General features: G+C 38.2%; 2 protein-coding genes across 15 annotated transcripts in view; one reads left to right on the top strand and one right to left on the bottom strand.

The window, feature by feature from the left end:
• Positions 1-8,403, top strand: part of PLCZ1 (phospholipase C zeta 1) — a 92,404-nt gene extending 84,001 nt beyond the window's left edge. Inside the window, exons 15-16 of the transcript XR_001748912.2 lie at positions 8,085-8,185; positions 8,290-8,403. The gene's annotated coding sequence lies outside the window, so the exon portion shown is untranslated. The remainder of the gene's footprint in view (positions 1-8,084; positions 8,186-8,289) is intronic.
• PIK3C2G (phosphatidylinositol-4-phosphate 3-kinase catalytic subunit type 2 gamma) overlaps positions 1-20,313 on the bottom strand; it is a 483,857-nt gene that overhangs the window by 72,806 nt on the left and 390,738 nt on the right. For 7 of the 14 annotated variants that reach the window (XM_047429005.1, XM_047429009.1, XM_047429010.1 and 4 more), the window contains 2 exons: positions 13,458-13,583; positions 5,596-6,136 (listed from right to left, as the gene is read on the bottom strand). In XM_047429005.1, the coding sequence (XP_047284961.1) occupies positions 5,984-6,136; positions 13,458-13,583 (279 nt within the window). In that variant the 3' untranslated portion in view covers positions 5,596-5,983. Of the gene's footprint in view, positions 1-5,595; positions 6,137-8,421; positions 10,362-13,457; positions 13,584-20,313 lie in introns of those variants that run through there. The other 7 variants (XM_047429007.1, XM_017019471.2, XM_047429008.1 and 4 more) reach the window with 2 other exon arrangements.

Raw genomic sequence — 20,313 nt, 5'->3', positions numbered from 1 at the left:
AAAATGAGGCTCTTTTTTAAGCTACTCAAGTTATTTCTTGATTCTTGGGGTAAATCGGAATCATGGAGCCAGAAGGCTGACAGGTATAGTCCTTTAAATTGCTTTCTGAATTTTGGGGCATGCAATAATCTCAGTCACTTATTTCTGAACCTCAGCCTAGGAAGAGGGCATTTTCTCTTTATACAAAGAGTTCCTATATTTTATTTTAAATGTTAATAAAATCCACTTCCCTCCTATAATTGCAGCTGTAGTTTGAATCTCCAAACTCTAATAATGAGTGTCTTTCCTTTAATTATTAAACTCAGAGTCTACTTAACACCATGTGGTTGAGGTGACTTAAGTATATAAACATACCACTTGAATTCGTTTGGTTTTGTCTCCTCCAGTGCTCTGTCACCCTAAAACCACTTCAAAATAGCATGCACACATACAAAGGAACACAATTTGGTGAAGTTTAGGTAACAGTCAGGTATACCTGTGTCTGGAGTTAAGAATTTTAAGCTACAAATTTACTAGAGCTTGTAACACATTTTGAATTCAGTCACTGTTCAAATATCAGGCCTAGCAGGTGAGACTTGGCCAAGAAGCCCATTGCATTGAGAGTATTCAAGATTTTGTGCTAGGAAATAATATATACATAAATTTGTAACATTTGTGTTACATCATGAGAGTTCAAGTTGCTGAAAAATTACTTTTATCACTGGAGTTTTTCCTATGTAATATCAAATCTTCACTTTTGGCATGGGTAATATGTGACTAATGATGGCTTCTCAATAATCCATTTCCTCTGGGAATCAACTCCTGACCCAAACCATGCTGCCAATGCTGGGAGTGGGTCTCTGCTACTGCAACCACTTTGTTTTATGATATTAGTAGCCAGGCAATGATCTATAACCTCATTTATTTTTTTCCAGCCTGTGCTTTTTGAGATGTCTTAGTTTTTGCAGAAGTTTCGAGGAGACTTTAAGGATGAGAGTGATAGGTAGGGGTTTGAGGGGGTGACTGTGTGTCCAAAGATTCCAGCTCCCTCATCCTCACTTAGCCTAAAATCAGTCTCTCTCTTTCTCTCTCTCTCTCTGTGTGAGACAGAATATGTATATTCTGAACATATACATATATATGTATATGTTCAATGTAAGATTTCATTTGAATAGAAAGATATGTTGCTATGAGACAACTGAATGTTACTACTCTCTGGAGACATAATAATTCTTTCTTTCCCACCTCATTAGGTTTCTAGTAGGGAACAAATAAAATATACATGTAAAAAGCCTGAAGGAACTTTGCAACATTGTATGAATGTGAGTGAAGACTGGGACCTTGCTTTTCTTGTACTGGTGTGCCATTCTATCATTTGTTTAGGTAATAATTTACACATTTTAAAAAACATTGTGCCAAGTATTTGTGGGGCTGGGACAACACAACAGATGATGACCCAATATATTAGTTAGCTAGGACCGCTGTCACAAAGCATCACACACCAAGTGGCTTAAGCAACAGTATTTTTCCCCCACAGCTTTGGAGGCTGTAAGTCCAAGATCAATGGTTGGTTCCTTTTGAGAGCTGTGGGGAAGAATCTCTGCCATGCCTCTTTTGCAGTTCGCAGTGGTTTTCTGGCAATCTTTAGCATTCCTTGACTTGTAGATGCATCACTCTAATATTCACCTTCATGTTTATATGACATTTTCCTTCTGTGCAGATCTGTGACCACATTTCTCCCTTTCATAAGTATATCAGTCATATACTTATATGTGACTGGTATATGGGACTGGCGAATTAGGGGACCACCTCACTCCATATGACCTCATCTTAAATAATTACATCTTTAGTAACCTTTTTTCTTTTTCCCAAATAAGTTCACATTCTGAGGTACCTGGGGTTAGGACTTCAACCTATCAATTTTGGGGAGTACATGATTTAGTCCATAATACTCAGATTATCATCTGCCTAACTTTAAAAGTTATACGTAAAACTAACAAACTAACAAAGAAAATATGTTTTATTCTCCTCCAATAATAAATATACTTTTTTAAACACCTGGAGAGATGAGCTTTTTGGAATCCTTAGAGATCCCTGCTGAGTTATGATGGAATGGAAAGAGCTGGTCCTTATCCTCAACCTCCTTCATGCCCTTCTATTTATTCCTGCCCCTGGCTCCATCCTGCCCTGTGGTTGCCTCATGCATATGTCTGTGAACAATCAACTGGCACATTCCAGCGACATTCATATACCCTGCAAGGAGCCTTCCCTTGGTTATCCTTGGAGCCCAGGCATTGCTCCCATTGGTGGTGAGTCTGACTTCAGATGAATGGATCTAGAGAAAAGGCCTTCAAAGGCTGTTCAGGCCGGAAGTTCCAAGGTCCTTAGGTACCTAGACTGTGGTCTAGAATGAGGGCTTTGGGTGTTTCTGAGTCACAACTAGAGAAGGCAGGGTTCTTTATGGTGAGGACACCAGGGCAAGAACTTCTCTTGCCTGGATCTAAGTCTCTACTGTCAGTGAACTAAACTTCCTGATAGTCTTATGGCTAATTGCCTAGTGAAGGGAGACAAAGCATAAATAATAAGCAAAATACATAAGTAAATTATATAAAATATTCAAAGATGATAAGTGCATAAGATAAAAGTGGTGTAGAGTAGGAAAGATCTGGTGTGTTTCCAGGGACAGGGCAGCTTGCAACATCTCACATAGGGTGTTCAAGGTAGGCAGGGCAGAGACGGAGACATCTGAGCAGGATTTGAGAGAGGTAAGGGAGCTAGGCAAATGGATACAGGGCACAAAGGCACATTTTGGGAAGAAGGAGTTGGCTGATCAAAGATCCCAGGGATGAAGCGTGCCTGGAGTGTCCAGGAGATACAAAGGAGGCCAGTGTTGATTGAATGTTATAAGCATAGGAGGATATAATAAGAGTTAAAATCAGAGAGATGAGGATGGGAGGTCAGATCACATAGGGCCTTTTAGGTTATTTTAAAGGCTTGGGCTTTTACTCTGAGATTAGAAGCCCCTGCAGAGTTTTGAACAGAAGAATGATATAACCATTCCCATTGCTGTGTTGAGAATAGACTATAAGGAGCAGAGTAAGCATAGAAAGGAGGAGACTGTTCAGAAGGCAATTATATAATCCAGGCCAAGGATGATAGCAGTAAGTTGGACCAGAGTATTTTCAGGTGGAGAGTGATAAGTGGTTGGTGATTGGATTTGGGAAATATTCTGAAGGTGGAGCCAACAGGACTTCCTGATGGACTGGAATATATATATATATATATATATATATATATATATATATATATATATATATATAGATATATACACACACACACACACACACACACACACACACACACACACATTTATATTCCAGTTATGTAAATAATAGGTATTTCGTGTATTTCAAGTGAGCCCGTATCAGCTCTCATATCAAGCACTCAAAATTTTCAGTAAATAAATGTATAGACTTTCATGTGTTTATATGGTAATGTAAATGAGCATACAAAATAGCTTAATTTTTTTTCATACACAGGAAAACATTTAATTAGCAAGTGTTTACATTTTTTCAGTAATTTGAATGGCAAAGATTAAAAAAATTCCTATGTAATTCTCTTAAAAAAAAAATGTGTGTGTATACACAGACACACAGACACACACACACACACACACACACACACATATATATATATATATAGAGAGAGAGAGAGAGAGAGAGAGAGAGAGAGAGAGAGAAATTTGGGTTAGCTTCAAGTTTTTTGCTCTTAACAACTGAATGATGGGTTTGACATCAACTAGGAGGGGAAAGGATGTGGATAAAACAGGTCTGGGGGAAAAGAACCCTAATATTTTCCCTGATCCCTGTGTACTTTTGGGGATACTGAGTTTGGGATATTTATCAGCAATTCAAGGGAATATTGAGTTGGCAGTTTGTTACTCATCTCTGGAATCTGGGAGGTATTCTGGGCTGGAGTTATAAAACTGGGAATCATCAGTATTCAGATGATATATAAAGCCTTGAGAGATGAGATCATTAAAGGAGTTAAGCTTGATGGGAAAGGGGAGCAAGGGGTGAGCCCTGGGACACTCCAGCACTGGAGGTGGTGGAGAGGAGCATGCTCCCACACAGAAGACTAAGAAGGAGAAACAAAAAGGCAACGAAGCTAAACTAAACTATAACTAAAAGGAAGCACAAGAGGATGTAGGGTATTGGAAGCCAAATGAAGAAAATATATCCAGGAAGATAGAGTTACTCATTGTATCCAATACTGTTGACAAGTAAATCAGAATAGTTCTGAAAAATAACCTTTGGATTTAGCTAATTGGAGGTCAACAGTGATTTTGACTAAAGTAGTTTCATTGAAATGGTGGGAGCAAATACCTGCTTGTAATGGCTCTAAGAGAAAATTGGAGGTGAGAAACCAGAGGCAGTAAAGACAACCATTTTGAAGAGTTTTGCTGCAAAGAGGAGCAGGGTAGTGGGTCAGCAATTGGCAGGGAAGTGGGGTAACGAGAAAGTTTTAATTTTTTGATGGGAGACATAACATCATGGTTGCATGGTGTCCAGAATTATCCATTAGACAGTAAAGAAATGATGATTTGAGTAGAAGAGGATTTCAATAGCAATGTTTTGGAGTAGGTCAGAGGAGATGGGATCAAATGTACAAATTGGGAGACTGGTTTGGGATAGGAGCATGGGTAGTTCTTCTCTGGTAATAAGCAGAGAGGTGGAACATGGAATTTGCTTACCTGGATAGATGCAGTTGTGGAAATCTGTGGCAGTTTCTTTTTACTGATTCTAATTTTTAAGTGATGTAGGAAACAATGCCATCAGCCAAGAGTGAGGATTAGGGGAGGAGTTGCTGAGGTTTCAGCAGACAGAAGGGTGTATAATCGTCTAGCAGAAAGGGAGAGTAATAGACTAAGAACATACAGAATTAAGGGCTCACTTGACTTGCATGATCACGTATTTCAAATGAGCCCATATCAGCTCATATCACATACTCAAATAATTTTCAATGAATACATTTACATGCTCATATGATATAGAGGAGGTGATGGGAAAAAGCTTAGATTTTTTTTCATTCATACACAGGGAAACATTGAATAAGCAGGGATTTAAATTTTTTCAGTAATTTGAATGGCAAGATTAAAAAATTTTTTTGATTGTTTTAAAGAATGTGGCATAGTGCATTAAATTTTACCCACTGTGCAGGTGGAAATCTGTGGGATTGTTTGCCCTGGTAATGGTGACTACGAAAGTAGGTTCAGAAGCAGGAAAATAATGTGCACAGATAAGAAATTTGATCAGAAGGGAGAGTTTCAGAGTTTGAGATCTTGGAGTCCAGGCATAACCAAGTTTAAATCGTGCCTCTGGGTGGCAGAAATCCAGTGACAATGAATTGATTGGTGGTGAAGAGGGTGAAAAACTACAAAGAAGTTTCTTCCAACAATTGAATGTAAGAATTTCAGGATTTATGTTTTGGTTTTCTGATAGAAAATAATATAGCATTCTGCTGAAATATACCAATTCCCTCAATAAGTAAGATTATGAGTAGGTATAAGTATATATAATTTAAGTTTTAAAAATTGATTACAGATATACCTAGATCTTGAATTAATTGATGAGGTTTATTTGATTGTCTTTCTTATAAAATACATTAAAAATACTGCTTTTAACTGTAGGCACACAATTAAAACAAATGTAAACCTATGTTTAATTTAAAATATATTAAAATGATTTAATAAAGGTCTTTTATTATTTTACACATCAAATTTCATGCAATCAGTACTCCACTGAAGGAGAAAAGATTATGAAAAAACAATGAAAGCACAGGTAGAAAATAAACAACACAAAAGACTAATTCTGATTTTTTTTCTGTGTCCTTAATACCCTGTGCTGTCTTTGACAACAAAGATGCCTTACTTATGTGATTCAGAGGCCCAGAAGTGAAAAAAATACAAGTAGTTAATGAATAATGCATATGTTCATAGCAATGGTCAAATTATACTGTTTCCTAATGGATACCATTTTTCTTTATCGAGTGGGACACTACAGAGTCGGATGTTAATTGCTCCCACAAATACAGTTTTACTCTTCACAATAAGCATTAAGACATGTCCTTGGAGCTCTGTGACTTCATCATATACTACCTAAAAACGGAGAAAATAATGAAAATATAAATCAGAAATGCTTAAATACATCTCTTTTTTGAGTATTGCTTTTAATAAAAAAAATTAGCTGCTAATATCTTATACCCTGGAATAGATAGGTTAATGTCAGACTCTTTTATTTCTAACTTTTATTCTGAAAAGCTGAAGTTTCTGCTAACACAATAGAGTTTAATGACAGGCTATTTTTGTAAGAATCCTAGAATTTACTGATTCCACTAAGAATTACCCACTCTATATTTAGCAAGATGGTAAATTACTCTCTAGGAAGAAATTTAAATATACTTCACCTTTTATACCCCATAAATATGTACAGCTATTATGTATTCATAAAAATAAAAAGAGAACATCATTCTTCTGTGTTGAAGGTTAATGAGGAAAAGCAGACTATTTTTTTTTTTTTTCAATTTTAGATTCAGGGGAATAGATGTGCAGGTTTGTACCAGAGGTATATTGCATGATGCTGTGGTTTGGGCTTCTAATGATCATGTTGCCTAAGTAGTGAACGTAGCACCCAATAGGTAGTTTTTCTACCCTTGGTCTCCTTCTTGTTTCTTCTCTCTTTTGGAATCTCCAGTCTTTATGGTTCCCATCTCTGTGGCCATGAAACAGACCAATTTCTATGATTTTCCTGTGCTACTTAAATGCAGCACAATGACATTTTCTTGTGCATATGCAGGCATAATACTGTGGTTACTTTTATTTATTCAAAATTACTAATTTTTAATTATGAAAATACATGCTTATTAAATAAAATCTGCATGAAACAAAAAAAAATACCAAAAAGGAAGAAAATAATTGGAATTTTCACCATTGGGAGACAATTACAGTTAACATTTTGATGTTCTTTTTGTTTTCTATATATAATCACTTATTCAGAATCTGACTTGTAATTATGCTGTATATACAGTTTCACGTCTTGTTCTTTTTTTGTGACTTTTTTTTTCAAAAGGAATCTGGTCAGCTGTCCTTTTATAATGTTCAGGAAGTAAGTTACAGGTCCATCGGCAACCTGCAGTGGTAAAGCAACGTAAAGGCATAGTACCGCTAAGAAATTAGTTATTTATCATGAAAGGAGGAGAGAGCTGAGTGGAAATCTGGCATGGTTACCAGGGAAATGTCTTAGAACACATTTAGAAAAGGAATTTCATATGCTGCTACAAACTTGCCTGCTTTTTACAGCCAAGTCACAAGATAGAAACTTTCTCAATATATGCCAAAAAGAAGCAGAAGAGACAACTTGAGAGGGCAGCCCTCTGAGTTCACTGGGTGGCCTCCCCTGTGAGCATGGATTTAGCTTCCAGTACTTTGTACAGCATAGGCTTACCTTTCATTACGTTATCAATGAAATTCAGTTCCAGGTCAATCTGTTAGTGACTCTGAACAATGATTCACTTACCAAGTAAATAGGTTCAATCAAAGGGCATGAGATACAATATGATATGCGAATGCGGTCTACCCTGATCCATGTGAGTGTTCTTGGCTACCTCTTCTTCCAGAATTTTACTCTCATTCCATACAGGAGATTATGGTTTAGTTTTCTGGTGTTGCTCATTCACAATGATATTTTCTTGTACATATGCAGGAGTAATACTGTGGTTACTTTTATTTATTCAAAATTACTGATGTTTTAATTATGAAAATACATGTTCATTAAATAAAATCTGCATGAAACAATTTCATTTCATCTATTGAGTTTTCCTGGGATAATAAAGGATTTTAAGAGTTGCCTTAAAAAATCTCAGAACCCTACCACTGTAATTCATGCTTTTTAACAACTGGATGCCCAATGCTGCCTGGAAATCTTTCTAGGACTTCAGAGTAAACTCCTTTTCCTTTTCTCTAAGTGGGTATTTTGAGCTGTCTGAACTATTCTCCATTTTTCTTCCTACATCATGTTCAGCTGATGAACTCCTCTCTTATTTTACAGAGAAAACAGAAAGGAACCCTCAAAGTGTGACTGTATATGATGCAGAAAAATGGGGAAGTCTGGCTAAGGACTCTGTGAATTGCATGAATAAGTCATAAATTGTAAGTTTTTAAAAAACATATCAATAATTTATATTTTCATGAATCTGTTGTCAACTGTGTGTTTTCTCATTTGTATAATGATGATAATAATCCTTACCTTTTAGCATTATAGGGAGGAAGAAATGAGATAATGAATATAAGCCTTGCTACAAAGCCTGGAACATATTAGACACCAGTAAATTATAGCTGAAAAAGATCCATCAAATACACAAAAAGGAACAGTTGTTTCTTAGTATTTTGCATCAATTGACTGGAGAAAACCCTTCCAGACAGAATTGAGTCTTCCAGGTATTTAGCAAGCTGAAAGCTTCAAGAAATGACTTTAGGAGTTAATTGCTTTCCTGGTTAAAATACAAACATTTGAACTTCCAAAGTTTTTATTACTTCATATATTTTTTCCCTCTGCTTCATTAAGAAAAGTTATTTTCTTAAAAGTGACTGAAGTTTTATAAACCTGTAATCATTGCACATTATAGATGATAAATATCTATTCTGATTGCTTTGGTGCATCCATGATGTTGTTAAATAGTAAGTACTCTTTTCAACTGAGCAAAGAATAATTAGTGGCTAATGTTAGCGAAGTACAGAGATGATTATATTCTTTGAGACCTTTTCGTCAAAGGATTTAATATATATTCTGCATACTCAGAACAAAAAAAAATGGTTCTGGTACATACTCAGAACCAAAAATAAATAGCTCTTTTAATTTCTTTTTCTAATAATTTTTACCTATAGGCATGAGTTAAGTCTTTACTACCTTCTGACAAATAACTAAATGTGTGGGTTTGGAATTATTACGTCTAATAGAAAACACTTAAGGTAATTAATATCTATTAACATATACTGAACATTCCAAGAATTTACTGAACATTAGTTGACACAAGGGTCTAGTAAATAATTCTAAAGTGTATTTTCATGATTGAAATGAGAGGACAATAAGATAGGAACTGAAGTGTCTCTAGTGCTTGTGGGAAGTGGTAGAGGAGGCAGGATAATGAAAGAAAGAGTTCAAAAGCGAGAACAGGGGTACTGCGTGGGAGGAGACAGGTAGGAATAACAGCATAGTGTAGTGCGGTAACCATGAGCTTTGGAATCAGGCAGTTCTGGGCTTGACATCTAGTTGTGTAACCTCTGGGTCACATTGTCTTCACTTACAAATACAATTTTCATCATGTTGAAATTGCAATAATATTATAACACAGATAACAATAACTATAGCTTACTGAGTGTGCCATATACTTGGCATTGTGCTAAGTAATCACTGTATATTCTGCAGGAGATTTTAAGGGATGTAAAATGCATAGAACGTTCCTGTTCTGTTCTTTCTAATTTTCCCTTTACACCTTACAACAGAATAATATATAAGAAAAGGTTACAATATACAAAATATATTGATTATAAGCATGTAATTCTGTCATAGGGTAGAAATTCTGTATTTCTAATGAATTGTGTGAAAAATGATGGTTTTTAAGAAGATGGCAAAAGTAGTGGCGTGGAAAGAGGCTTTGGAGCCCGGAATCCCACCTCTGCTTCTTCAAGCTGTATGGCAGTTCCCTGAGCACTCACACCCCCAGCCCCAGACCCATCTTGAGACCAGCCATGCCTATCACTGGGATTTGTACATGACAGGGGTTTTCAGGGAGACTGCTGATGAAGCCTATTGGGGCTCACTCTGCGAAGTGTCAAATAGACAAGCTTGGCCCTGCATCAAAGCCTTAGTATGGGAAGGGTGGAGACTCTGTCACTTTTCTGTGTCCCCGACCCAGCCCCTCTCATCTCTGGATATTAAGGAGAAAGGAGGATAGGAATAAAAATAAAAAGAACTATTTTCACAAAAGGCTTTGTAAGACATTGGTATGCAGTGTAATATCTTCTTTGTACTCCTCTGAGAGATTTATATAAAGAGGAGAGTGAGGTCATCCTCTCCCACTTCAAGAACAGTACACGGCTTTTACAGTTTGAGAAATCCCAGCTGTGGTGAGTGGTTGATGCAGCAGTACTCAGTGAGGCGGCGGAAGTGGAGGAAAAGTTTAAAACAAGGTAGATGCCCTGTGATAACTCACTGGGCTCTCTAGTAAGCACTGGGCTTATTGGTAAAGACATCTAGTAAGGTGCTCTTGAGGTTGCACACAAGTGATCGAGGAGTTTGACACAAAGATGGGATCCTACATCACAACTGAGGGCAAGAGACAGTAAAATCAGAGTTAACATCTAGTGTGCTTCTTTGCATTTCTTATAAATATTCTTGTTGTGTTGATACAGGCATAGAATGAAAAAAATTAAATTAACCGTTGTTGCCTTTTTTTCCTTTTGGCTCTTGGAATTCACCCAGCTTCTTTGCCAGAATTGTTTATATGATTAGAAACCTCTTACTGTCCTAATGACTACTACTAAAATCATCACTTATACACACACTACTTCAAATTTCTGCTTGATTGGACTATGTTCTCATCGGAATTGGCTATGCATGGACCATGGCTTTCGAAGCAATTTAAAATGTGTCCAAAGTATAAAGTGTCTATTCATGCTACAAGTATAGATCAATTGAGAAAGATTTGTAGTGAGTTTTAATCAGTGGGTTATGGATGTGTGAGGACCTAGGTATTGCAAGCCCTCAGAAAAGTTATGTGCACAGCAAGAATTATAAAATAATTTTCCATGAATATAATTTACTACTGTTTTCTTATAATACATAAAGCTTGAAATAAAACACAAGTTTATTTAAATTGTTCTGAATTGTTAGTGGTTTCTTGTTATTATATGTTTTCTTATACTGAAAATGCTTATGCCTAACACAGGGTCTGAGAAGTTTCTTGATAGTGAGGCATGGAGACTTGTACTCAAAAAGTATGAAAAGAAACAGTGATATATTGTTGGGAAGTGTATGCTTCTCACTGTTGACATCATGACAAATAATAGTGTCAAAATATTTTTCCTTACCAGTTTAGAGAATCTCTCTCTCTCTATATATATATGCAGTATATACATGTATTTACATTTTATACACACACACACACACACACACACACACACACACACAGTGTCACTTATAAAACTGCCCCGAATATTTATTACACATCATTTTAGAGGTAACTAAGTGTTAAAAGTATTAAAAAGGATAAGACATTTAACCCGCCCTGGAGAAGTTTATGATATACTAGAAGAAAAACCGTGTAGGACTAAAGAAAGGATTATAAGTGTGGTGTGAGTCCACGAGGTGACAGTGTTTGCAGAGTTCACATCTGAGGTCAGTCTCAAAGCAGGCAGAGAAGGGCAGAGAGAGGTGAATGGTGGCATGAGTTCTATCACAAAATCCTACAGTCCATTCAGGGAATGACAAGCTGTCTGATGTGATCTGAAAATATGGCTAAGTATGGGATAACAAAAAGAGTATAAGAACACAAATATTCCCAAGTGATTTTTGACAAACGTGCAAAAGAAATTCAGTGGAGGAAGAATTGCCTTTTCAACAAATAGTACTGGAATAATTGGTATCCACAGTGGGGAAATAAAGAGCCTTGACTTAAACATCACATTTTATTAAAAATTTAACTCAAAATGGGTAATGTACTTAAATGTAAAATGTAAAGCTATACAACTTTTAGAAAAAACTATAAGAGAAAATCTTTGAGACTCAGTGCTAGACAAAGAGTTTCTTAGTTTCGACCCCAAAGGTACCATCTATAAAAGAAAGAATGAATGGAGGAAAGCCTGGTCTAAAAGTGCCTATGAGACATTCAGATGGAGCTCCCCAGTAATCAGGTAGAAGTGTGACAGAGGCCGGGCATGGTGGCTCACGCCTGTAATCCCAACATTTTGGGAGGCTGAGGCGGTGGATCACCTGAGGTCAGGAGTTTGAGACCAGCCTGACCAACACGGCAAAACCCCGTCTCTGCTAAAAATACAAAAATTAGCTGGATGTGGTGGTGGGAGCTTGTAATCTCAGTTACTCGGGTGGCTTAAACAGGAGAATTGCTTGAATCTGGGAGGTGGAGGTTGTGGTGAGCTGAGATTGCGCCACTGCACTCCAGCCTGCTAGACACAGAGTGAAGGGCTCCATCTCAAAAAAAAAAAAAAAAAAAAGCTTGAGAGAGAGAAGCCAGGGTTTTAGGAGTAAATTCAGATGCAACCTACCTATAGGTGATAAATAAAACTTTGTTGATCCACAAGATAAATGTGAGAGTATGTACAGGAAGAGGAGATGAGGATGGATCATGTGACTTCAGTAAACAATAATATTTTAAGAGAAAGAATAACAATGAAGGAAAATGAGAGAGGTGGTAGAGAAATGGAAATAAGTGGTAGAGAAATAAGTGGTAGAGAAAATGGAAGAGAATTAAGAAAAGGTACAACTCAAAAAGCAAAACGGAGGTTTCAGGAATGGGGCTGTGGTCAGTAGTGCTGCTGTATAACTGATCCAGGCACGAGAGCCTGAGGGCTCTTTGGATTTAGCAGTTAGGAGTCTATTGATGCCCCTTGAATAAAGTACTATCAATAAAGGTCAGAATCCACATTGCAAAGCATTCAAGGGTGAAAGGGAGAGATGAAGGGAAAGCAGATCATGTGGGTTAATTTTGGATAAGTTTGGAGGTGATAGTGAGGGAAAGAAAATTTGCTTAGCAAGCCTGAGTTGGGGAGTTTTTGTTTTTGTTTTTTAATATTTCTGAGTGGAGGATCCTGTGGATGAGACAGCCATAAGAAAAGGAACACAAATAAGCAGCTGAGCAAGGTGCAGAGGAGATGGGAAAGGATGGAATCAAGAGAATAAATGTAGGGGCTTGCCTTAGAAAGAAGTTAGGGAATTGCACATTACAAATAAATTAGAGAGCTATTTATAATATACATTAACTTCCATTTGTATTTTGTATTTATTTTTTTAGTTTTTCAAAAGAGATTTTATGAGATTTACTGTTATACCCAAGGTAGTATATGATAAAATTATTAGGTAAGGAAAATCAGGTAAAGGAGAATAAGGTTAGAGAAAATAAGATGAAGTCAGGAATAAAGTTAGTATGCAAAACAAGTCTTGGGCTCTTGCTGGAGGTTAGCCATACTTGCAAATTGGTTTATAAGAGCTTTGAAAGCAGTATCTGTATTTTCCAGTGCCCATAGCATCTAGAAGAGTGATCAGCATACTGCGACTACTTTGGAAAATATCTTTCCTTTATGAAATAATGCTGCCAATTACTGCAAATTTTCCATATTTGGTTGTTAAGCTGAAAAATGGTAAGAAAAATACAAAATGACTGGACAAAAGGTGACTTATACTTACAATTTCATTGTAAGTGGGGTCCGTACATTTTGGAACAGATTTTGTTTTCCTCCTACGAACTTCACTGGGATATGGTAAAAGATAAAATTCAACATGTGCACTGGGCGCAGAGCCATCTGGGAGATGCTGCAAAGGAAAATGGTTATAAATATTAATGCATGTTGCTATCAAAGAAAACAAATACAGAGCTACTAAATATCCAGACCAAAGGCAGGATCAGGATTTATTACAGTCACTTTGTTGATGTGAAAATAAGAGAAAATCAAAAGAAATTCATCCATGCTCAAAGATAATTCCAAACTACAGTTTAAAAGAGTAAAGCTGGCCATCTTAAATTAAGTGTTGTGTCAGAGAACTACATTTAAAGTCCATTACATATAATTTACTTTAATTTTTTGCTGTAAAATCTAAATTTGCATTTTGACAGATATGGTCAAGAGATAAATATTAGCCACAAGCAGAGACAAAAATATGAGTGTCAGGATGTGGTACACCACTTTTGAAAATTAAAAAATTCAAGTTCAATATATAAAATGAGATGTAGCATTTAATAATATGTATATGTATATTATATAATATCACATTTTAAAATAAAATATAATTAAAATATTAATTAGAGCTATAACTTTAATATACCTACAAGATTTAAAAATGATTATAATAATTTTATCATCTAAAGTACTCTAAATTATGTTGGATAATCCCTTTTAAATTATGTTCTATGGTGCTCCAAAAGTTGCCTAAGGCAGTTGCTGAATAGCATGGCTAAATGGGTGGATCTCTGGACCTCCACTCCCCAGTTCTTCCTTAAACTCTCTCCTCCTCAGCTCCCCTTCCTGGCTTCAGAACTTGTTTCCACCTTTTCCATCTTGCCTTCAAATCTGTTATGGATATGTTAATTTCTAAATAGATCATTTGAAGAATGACTCCCCTGTTTCAAAAATTTGGAAACCATCATACTTGAAAGAAATGGATTTTACCTTTGTGATCTTGACCAACTGTAGAGTAAATGGTACTAAAACTCTGAAAGTCTAGTTTTATAAAATGAGAAATATTTGTATAATTTATATTTAAAGCAGATGATTTAAAAGTAAAATTTGAGGAATTAAGTGCTTGTTTTGTTTACTAATTCTATTAAATCAGTAATTTTCAAGAAATATATTTTAATGCTCTGAAATACAGTGATATTCACATGTGAAAACCAGTGCACCCCCACACCCAGCTCCATTAGCTTTAATTTCACATCTTTCTTCAGAACTCAAAAAAACGTGTAGTAAAGCAAGAAAATATGATATATATTATTATAGGACTAAATTTTATTCAGTTCTAAATTACATATTAAAAATTATATCATTAGACAGTTTGGGTTTTTATTATAATTATTAACAAATAAGATAAAATATATCTGGACACCCTCATTTGTCAATATGTTAAGAATGAGGACCGGTACTTTATTGGAGCTCAAGGTATACCTCTGCCATTTGATATCCTCCCCCAGGAGGGGGAGCACTGAAATCTATCAATGGTATAATGAAATCTTCAGTGACACAGAAAGAAGTTGCTATTAATATTTGGGAGTAGATTTTTTTTTTTTTTTTTTTTTGGTGAGAAGAGTGAAGTAGTAAAAGTGTTTCTGCTCTGTTTAACTCTCTGTCTTATCTGTTTTGGAACTTGAGGATATCCTGCCTATAATCCCTAGATACTGCAACTTAGTGGGTAAAACTTAGTGGGTAAAACATGTTTCTGGAAATGGATTTTCTGATTGCAAATCTGGGTCCCCAAATTTGCCAGCTATGTGGCTTTAGACAGGTATGATGGTTAGTTTTGTGTGTCATTATGGCTGGGTCGTGGGATGCCCAGATATCTGGTTAAACATTATTTCTAGGTTTGTCTGTAAGGGTGTTATGTGGCTCAAAGACTGCATAAATGACCTAAAACTTCTATGTGTGCCCTGAAGGAGACCCTTATCTCCTGTACTGTGGGGCTGAGATTGCTTAACACCAAATGCAGAATCTCAGCTTGACACTGGTTGAATTACAATGCGAGTTGAACTCCAAGCTTCACAAAGTGTCTACTGTTAAAGTGAAGCATTGATGAGATTCTGTAATTTGGGATGGGTTGTGTAGAAAGTCGCTGATCAAGTTTGGAACATGGAGCTCCTAAATTCTGATGAGCCTTCTTTTCTAGTGGAAGTGGCCTCCTTACCCCAGTGGTGTCTCCTCTACTTCACCTCCAACCTCTGAGAGGATCAGCTCTGCACTGTCTGAGCAAATAGTGATAGCCTCCTCTGAGGCAGCTGCTATGCAAGACAATTTTAATTCTCCTGAGAACCCCTTTACCTCTACCCCATGTCTCATCTCTCTCTGCTTCTAGCCCTATAACCAAACTCAAATCCCAGCTGGCTTCTAAAGTTGAGGTTCAAAGTGTGACCCATGAAGATGTGTGCTACACTCCAAAATAATTACTTGAGTTTTCTAATTCTTACAGACAGAAATCTGGGTAACAGGTGTAGGAATGGACACTAAGGGTGTGAAATAATGGTAGAAAGAACATAAAGTTATATTAAGTTAAATTTTTTTGTTGTTTCGGGCTCACTAAGCAGAGATTCTTCATTTAATGTTGAAGCTTGGGGAATCAGAAAGGGTTCTAACAGTGTGCTGGGTTGGCTGACACATGGACCAAAAGGTGGACAGGCTGGACCTGCCTTGATTTAATGTAGCAGAAAGGATTAAAAGCATATGGAGAGTGGATTCGTCATATAAGACCCACACTGAGAGTAATCAAAAGACACAATTTTCAACAACACTGTGAGAAATAAATTTGTGAGGGGAGGCCCAGCATCCTTGAAAAGCTCTGTGATCACTCTTCTCTGTAGGCCAAGCCTCACAGTAGGACCTGCAGTCACTGAATTGGGAAACCTAAATGCAACGGGGGTAATTAGATCCCAGTGTGGCAGGGGCCAAGTTGCCTTGCTAAACTGCCAAGGTCAGGGTGGGTGTGGTTACCATAGCGGACAGCAGGGCCAAAGCAGCTATCAGAACAGTCTGATTCCTGCAGACGCATGATGTAGGCTAGCTTTTATGTGTTCCTTGAAGTGAAATCAATAGGAAGACTACAAATTCTTATTTCATTTTTTTGTAAAAAAAAAAAAAAATATCTAGGTCAAGTGAACAAAATCTTACCTGAATCATAAAAACAGAGAGTTACGGCCTCTCAATTAATTCCTAGACTTGAGTCAGCTTACAGATCCAGAAACCCTTGAATGAAGGAGAGACTGGGTCCCCTTGAGGAAAGACTCTTGGATACTATCCAAAATTTATACTGTTAATCTTTATTCAAAGGGACCTATGGGTTTTTACGAGGAAAACTGTGCACTAGGGGAAAGGATATAATCAGATCTTTTGGGAACTACTGGACACTGGCTCTCAACTGACACTGAATTCAAGAGACTCAAAATGTCACTGTGGACCACCAGTCAGAGTAGGGGGCTTATAGAGGTCAGGTGATCAATAGAATTTGAGCTCATGTCTGTCTCACAGTGGGCCCTGTGGATTCTCAAACCATCCTATGGTTACTTCTTCAATTCTGGAAGGAATAATTGCAATAGACATAGCAGCTCACAGAGCCCTCACATTGGTTTCCTGACCTGTGAAGTGAGGGCTATTACGGTGAAAAAGGTGAAGTGGGAGCCACTAGTATTGCCTCTATCTAGGAAAATAATAAACCAAAGCCATGTCACTGGGGGGATTTCAGAGACTGGCACAACTATCAAGGACTTGAAAGACACAGGGGTTGGGGGTGAATCCCACCACATCCTCACTCAATTTGCCTATTTGGCCATATGGATGAATCTTGGAGAATGAGAGTGGATTATCATCAGCTTAACCAAGTGATAACTCCAATTGCAGCTGCTATACTAGATGTGGTTTCACTGCTTACACAAATTAACACATCTCCTGATACCTGGTATGCAGCTATTGACCTGGCAAATGCTATTTTTATCAATACCTGTTAACAAAGACCACCAGGGGTGCAGTGGCTCACACCTGTAATCCCAGCACTTTGGGAGGCCGAGGTGGGTGGATCACATGAGGTCGGGAGTTCGAGACCAGCCTGACCAACATGGAGAAACCCCATCTCTACTAAAAATACAAAATTACTGGACATGGTGGCACGTGCCTTGTAATCCCAGCTGCTTGGGGGCTGAGGCAGGAGATTCCTTTGAACCCACGAGGCAGAGGTTGCGGTGAGCCGAGATCGTGCCATTGTACTCCAGCCTGGGCAACAAGAGCGAAATTCCATCTCAAAACAACACAAAACAAAACAAAAACAAAGACCACCAGAAGCAGTTTGCTTTCAGCTGACAAGACCAGCAAATCACCTTCACCTTCACTGTCCTACCTCAGGGGTACATCAACTCTCCAGCTCTATGTCATAATTTAGTTCATATGGTAACACACTGGTCCATTACACTGATGACAGTATGCTAACTATAGACTTATTTGTGAGACTTTTGCATGTCAGAGGGTGGAAAATAAAGCTGACTAAACTTCAAAGGACTTCTATCTCAGTGAAATTTTTAGAGGTCCAGTGGTGTGGAGCATGTTGATATATCCCTTCTAAGATAAAGGGTACGTTGTTGCAGCTGGCTTCTCCTACAACCAAGAAAGAGGCACAATGACTAGTGGGCCTATGGGATTTTGGATGCAACATACTCCTCATTTGGGTGTGTTAGCCTGGCCCATTTGCTGAGTGACCTGAAAAGCTGCTTGTTTTGAGTGGGGCTCAGAAGAAGAGAAGGTTCTGCAACAGGTCCAAGCTGCTGTGCAAGCTGCTTTGCCACATGGGTTACATGATCCAGTAGATCTAATGGTGCTTAAAGTGTCAGTGGCAGAAAAGATGATGTTTGAAGGCTTTGCAAGTCCCTATGGTGAATTTCACCACAGGCCCTTAGGATTTTGGAGCAAAGGCCTGCCATCTTATGCAGATAACCTGTCTCCTTTTGAGAAATAGCTCTTGACCTGCTACTAGGCCTTAGTGGTGACTGAATGCTCAACCGTGGGCCACCATGTCGCCGTGTGCCCCGAGTTGCCCATCACGAATTGGATGGGCATCTCACTCATGAAGCCATAAAGCTGGGTGTGCATCACAATACTCCATCATCAAATGAAATCGGTATACGCATAATCAGGCCTGAACTGGCCTTGATGGCGTGTCACGATAAGTTACATGAAGAAGTGGCCCAAGTTCCCATGGTTTCCATTGCTGCTGCACTGACTTCTTTCCTCCAGACTGCGCCCGTGGCCTCATAAAGAGTTCCCTGCGGTCAGTTGACAGAGGAAGAGAAAGAAAGATGAGGCCTGGTTTACGGATAGTTCTGCATGATATACAGGCATCAGCTGAAAGTGGACAGCTTTAGCACTATAGCTCCTTTCTGGGATATCCCTAAAGGACAGTGGTGAAGGAAAATCCTCCCAGTGGGCAAAATTTCAAGCAGTTCACCTGCTTGTTCACTTTGCTTGGAAGGAGAAATGGCCAGGTGTGTAATTATACAGTGATCCATGGGTTGCAGCCAGTGGTTTGGCTGGGTGATCAGGGGCTTAGAAAGAATGTGATTGGAAAACTGGTGACAAGAAGATTGGGGAGGTAGCATGTGGATAGGTCTCTCTAAATGGGCAAAAAAAAAGTGAAGATATTCACATCCCATGTGAATGCTCACTGAAGGGTGACTTCATCAGAAGATTTTAATAATGAAGTGGATAAGATGAGCCATTCTGTGGATACTCATTAGCCTCTTTCCCCTGTCACCCTGTCATTGCCCAGTGGGTTCATGAACAAAGTGGTCATGGTAGTAGGGGTGGAGGTTTTGCCTGAGCTCAGCAACACGGACTTTTATTCATCAAGGCTGACCCAGCTACAGCCACTGCTGAGTGCCCAAAATGTCAACAGCAGAGACTGACACTCAGTTCCTGAGATGGCATCATTCCCCATGCTGGTAAGCTATCTGATGGCCGGTTGATTACATTGGACTGCTTCCATCATGAAAAAGTGGTGTTTCTTCTTACTGGAATAAATACTGTGAAAATGGATTTGCGTTCCTTGTGCAGTTTCTGTCAGAACTACCGTCCATGGACTTGTAGAATGCCTTATCCACCACAGTATTCCATGTGAGGAGTACGTTGCCTCCAAAATCCCATAGGCCCACTAGTCATTGTGCCTCTTTCTTGGTTGTAGGAGAAGCCAGCTGCAACAACTTATCCTTTATCTTAGAAGGGATCTATCATCATGCTTCACACTATTGGACCTCATTGTTTATGATTATGGGACTCACATCACAGCAAAAAGAGCATGGCAATGGGCCCATGTTCATGGACTTCACTGGTCTTACTATGTTCCCCACCCTCCTGAAGCATCTGGTCTCTACAGAACGATGAAATGGCCTTTGAAGACTTAGTTACAGTTCAAGTTAGGTGGTGATACCTTGCCAGGCTGCAGCAAGATTCTACAAAAGGCTGTGTATGCTCTGAACCAGCATCCAATATATGGCGCTTTCTCTGATAGCCAAGATTCACAGGTACAGGAATAAAGGGGTGGAAATGGGAATGGCACCACACACTATTATGCCCAGTGAGTAACAAGCAAATTTTTGTTTCCTGTTCCTACACCCTTACACACTACCAGCCTAGAGATCTTAGTTCCTCTAAACCGAATCATAAAAACAGAGAGGAACGTTTCCATTGGGAGGCACAACAATGATTGCATTGAATTGAATGTTAAGACTTCGACTCAGCCACTCTGAGCTCTTCAAGCCTCTGAACCACCAGGCAAAAAGGGAGTTACAGTTCTGGCTAGAGTG

The sequence above is a fragment of the Homo sapiens genome, chromosome 12 (genome assembly GCF_000001405.40).
Source record: "Homo sapiens chromosome 12, GRCh38.p14 Primary Assembly".
Lineage (NCBI taxonomy): Eukaryota > Metazoa > Chordata > Mammalia > Primates > Hominidae > Homo > Homo sapiens.
The sequence above is the reverse complement of the archived record's forward strand: the minus strand, read 5'-3'. Positions and strand labels throughout refer to the sequence as shown.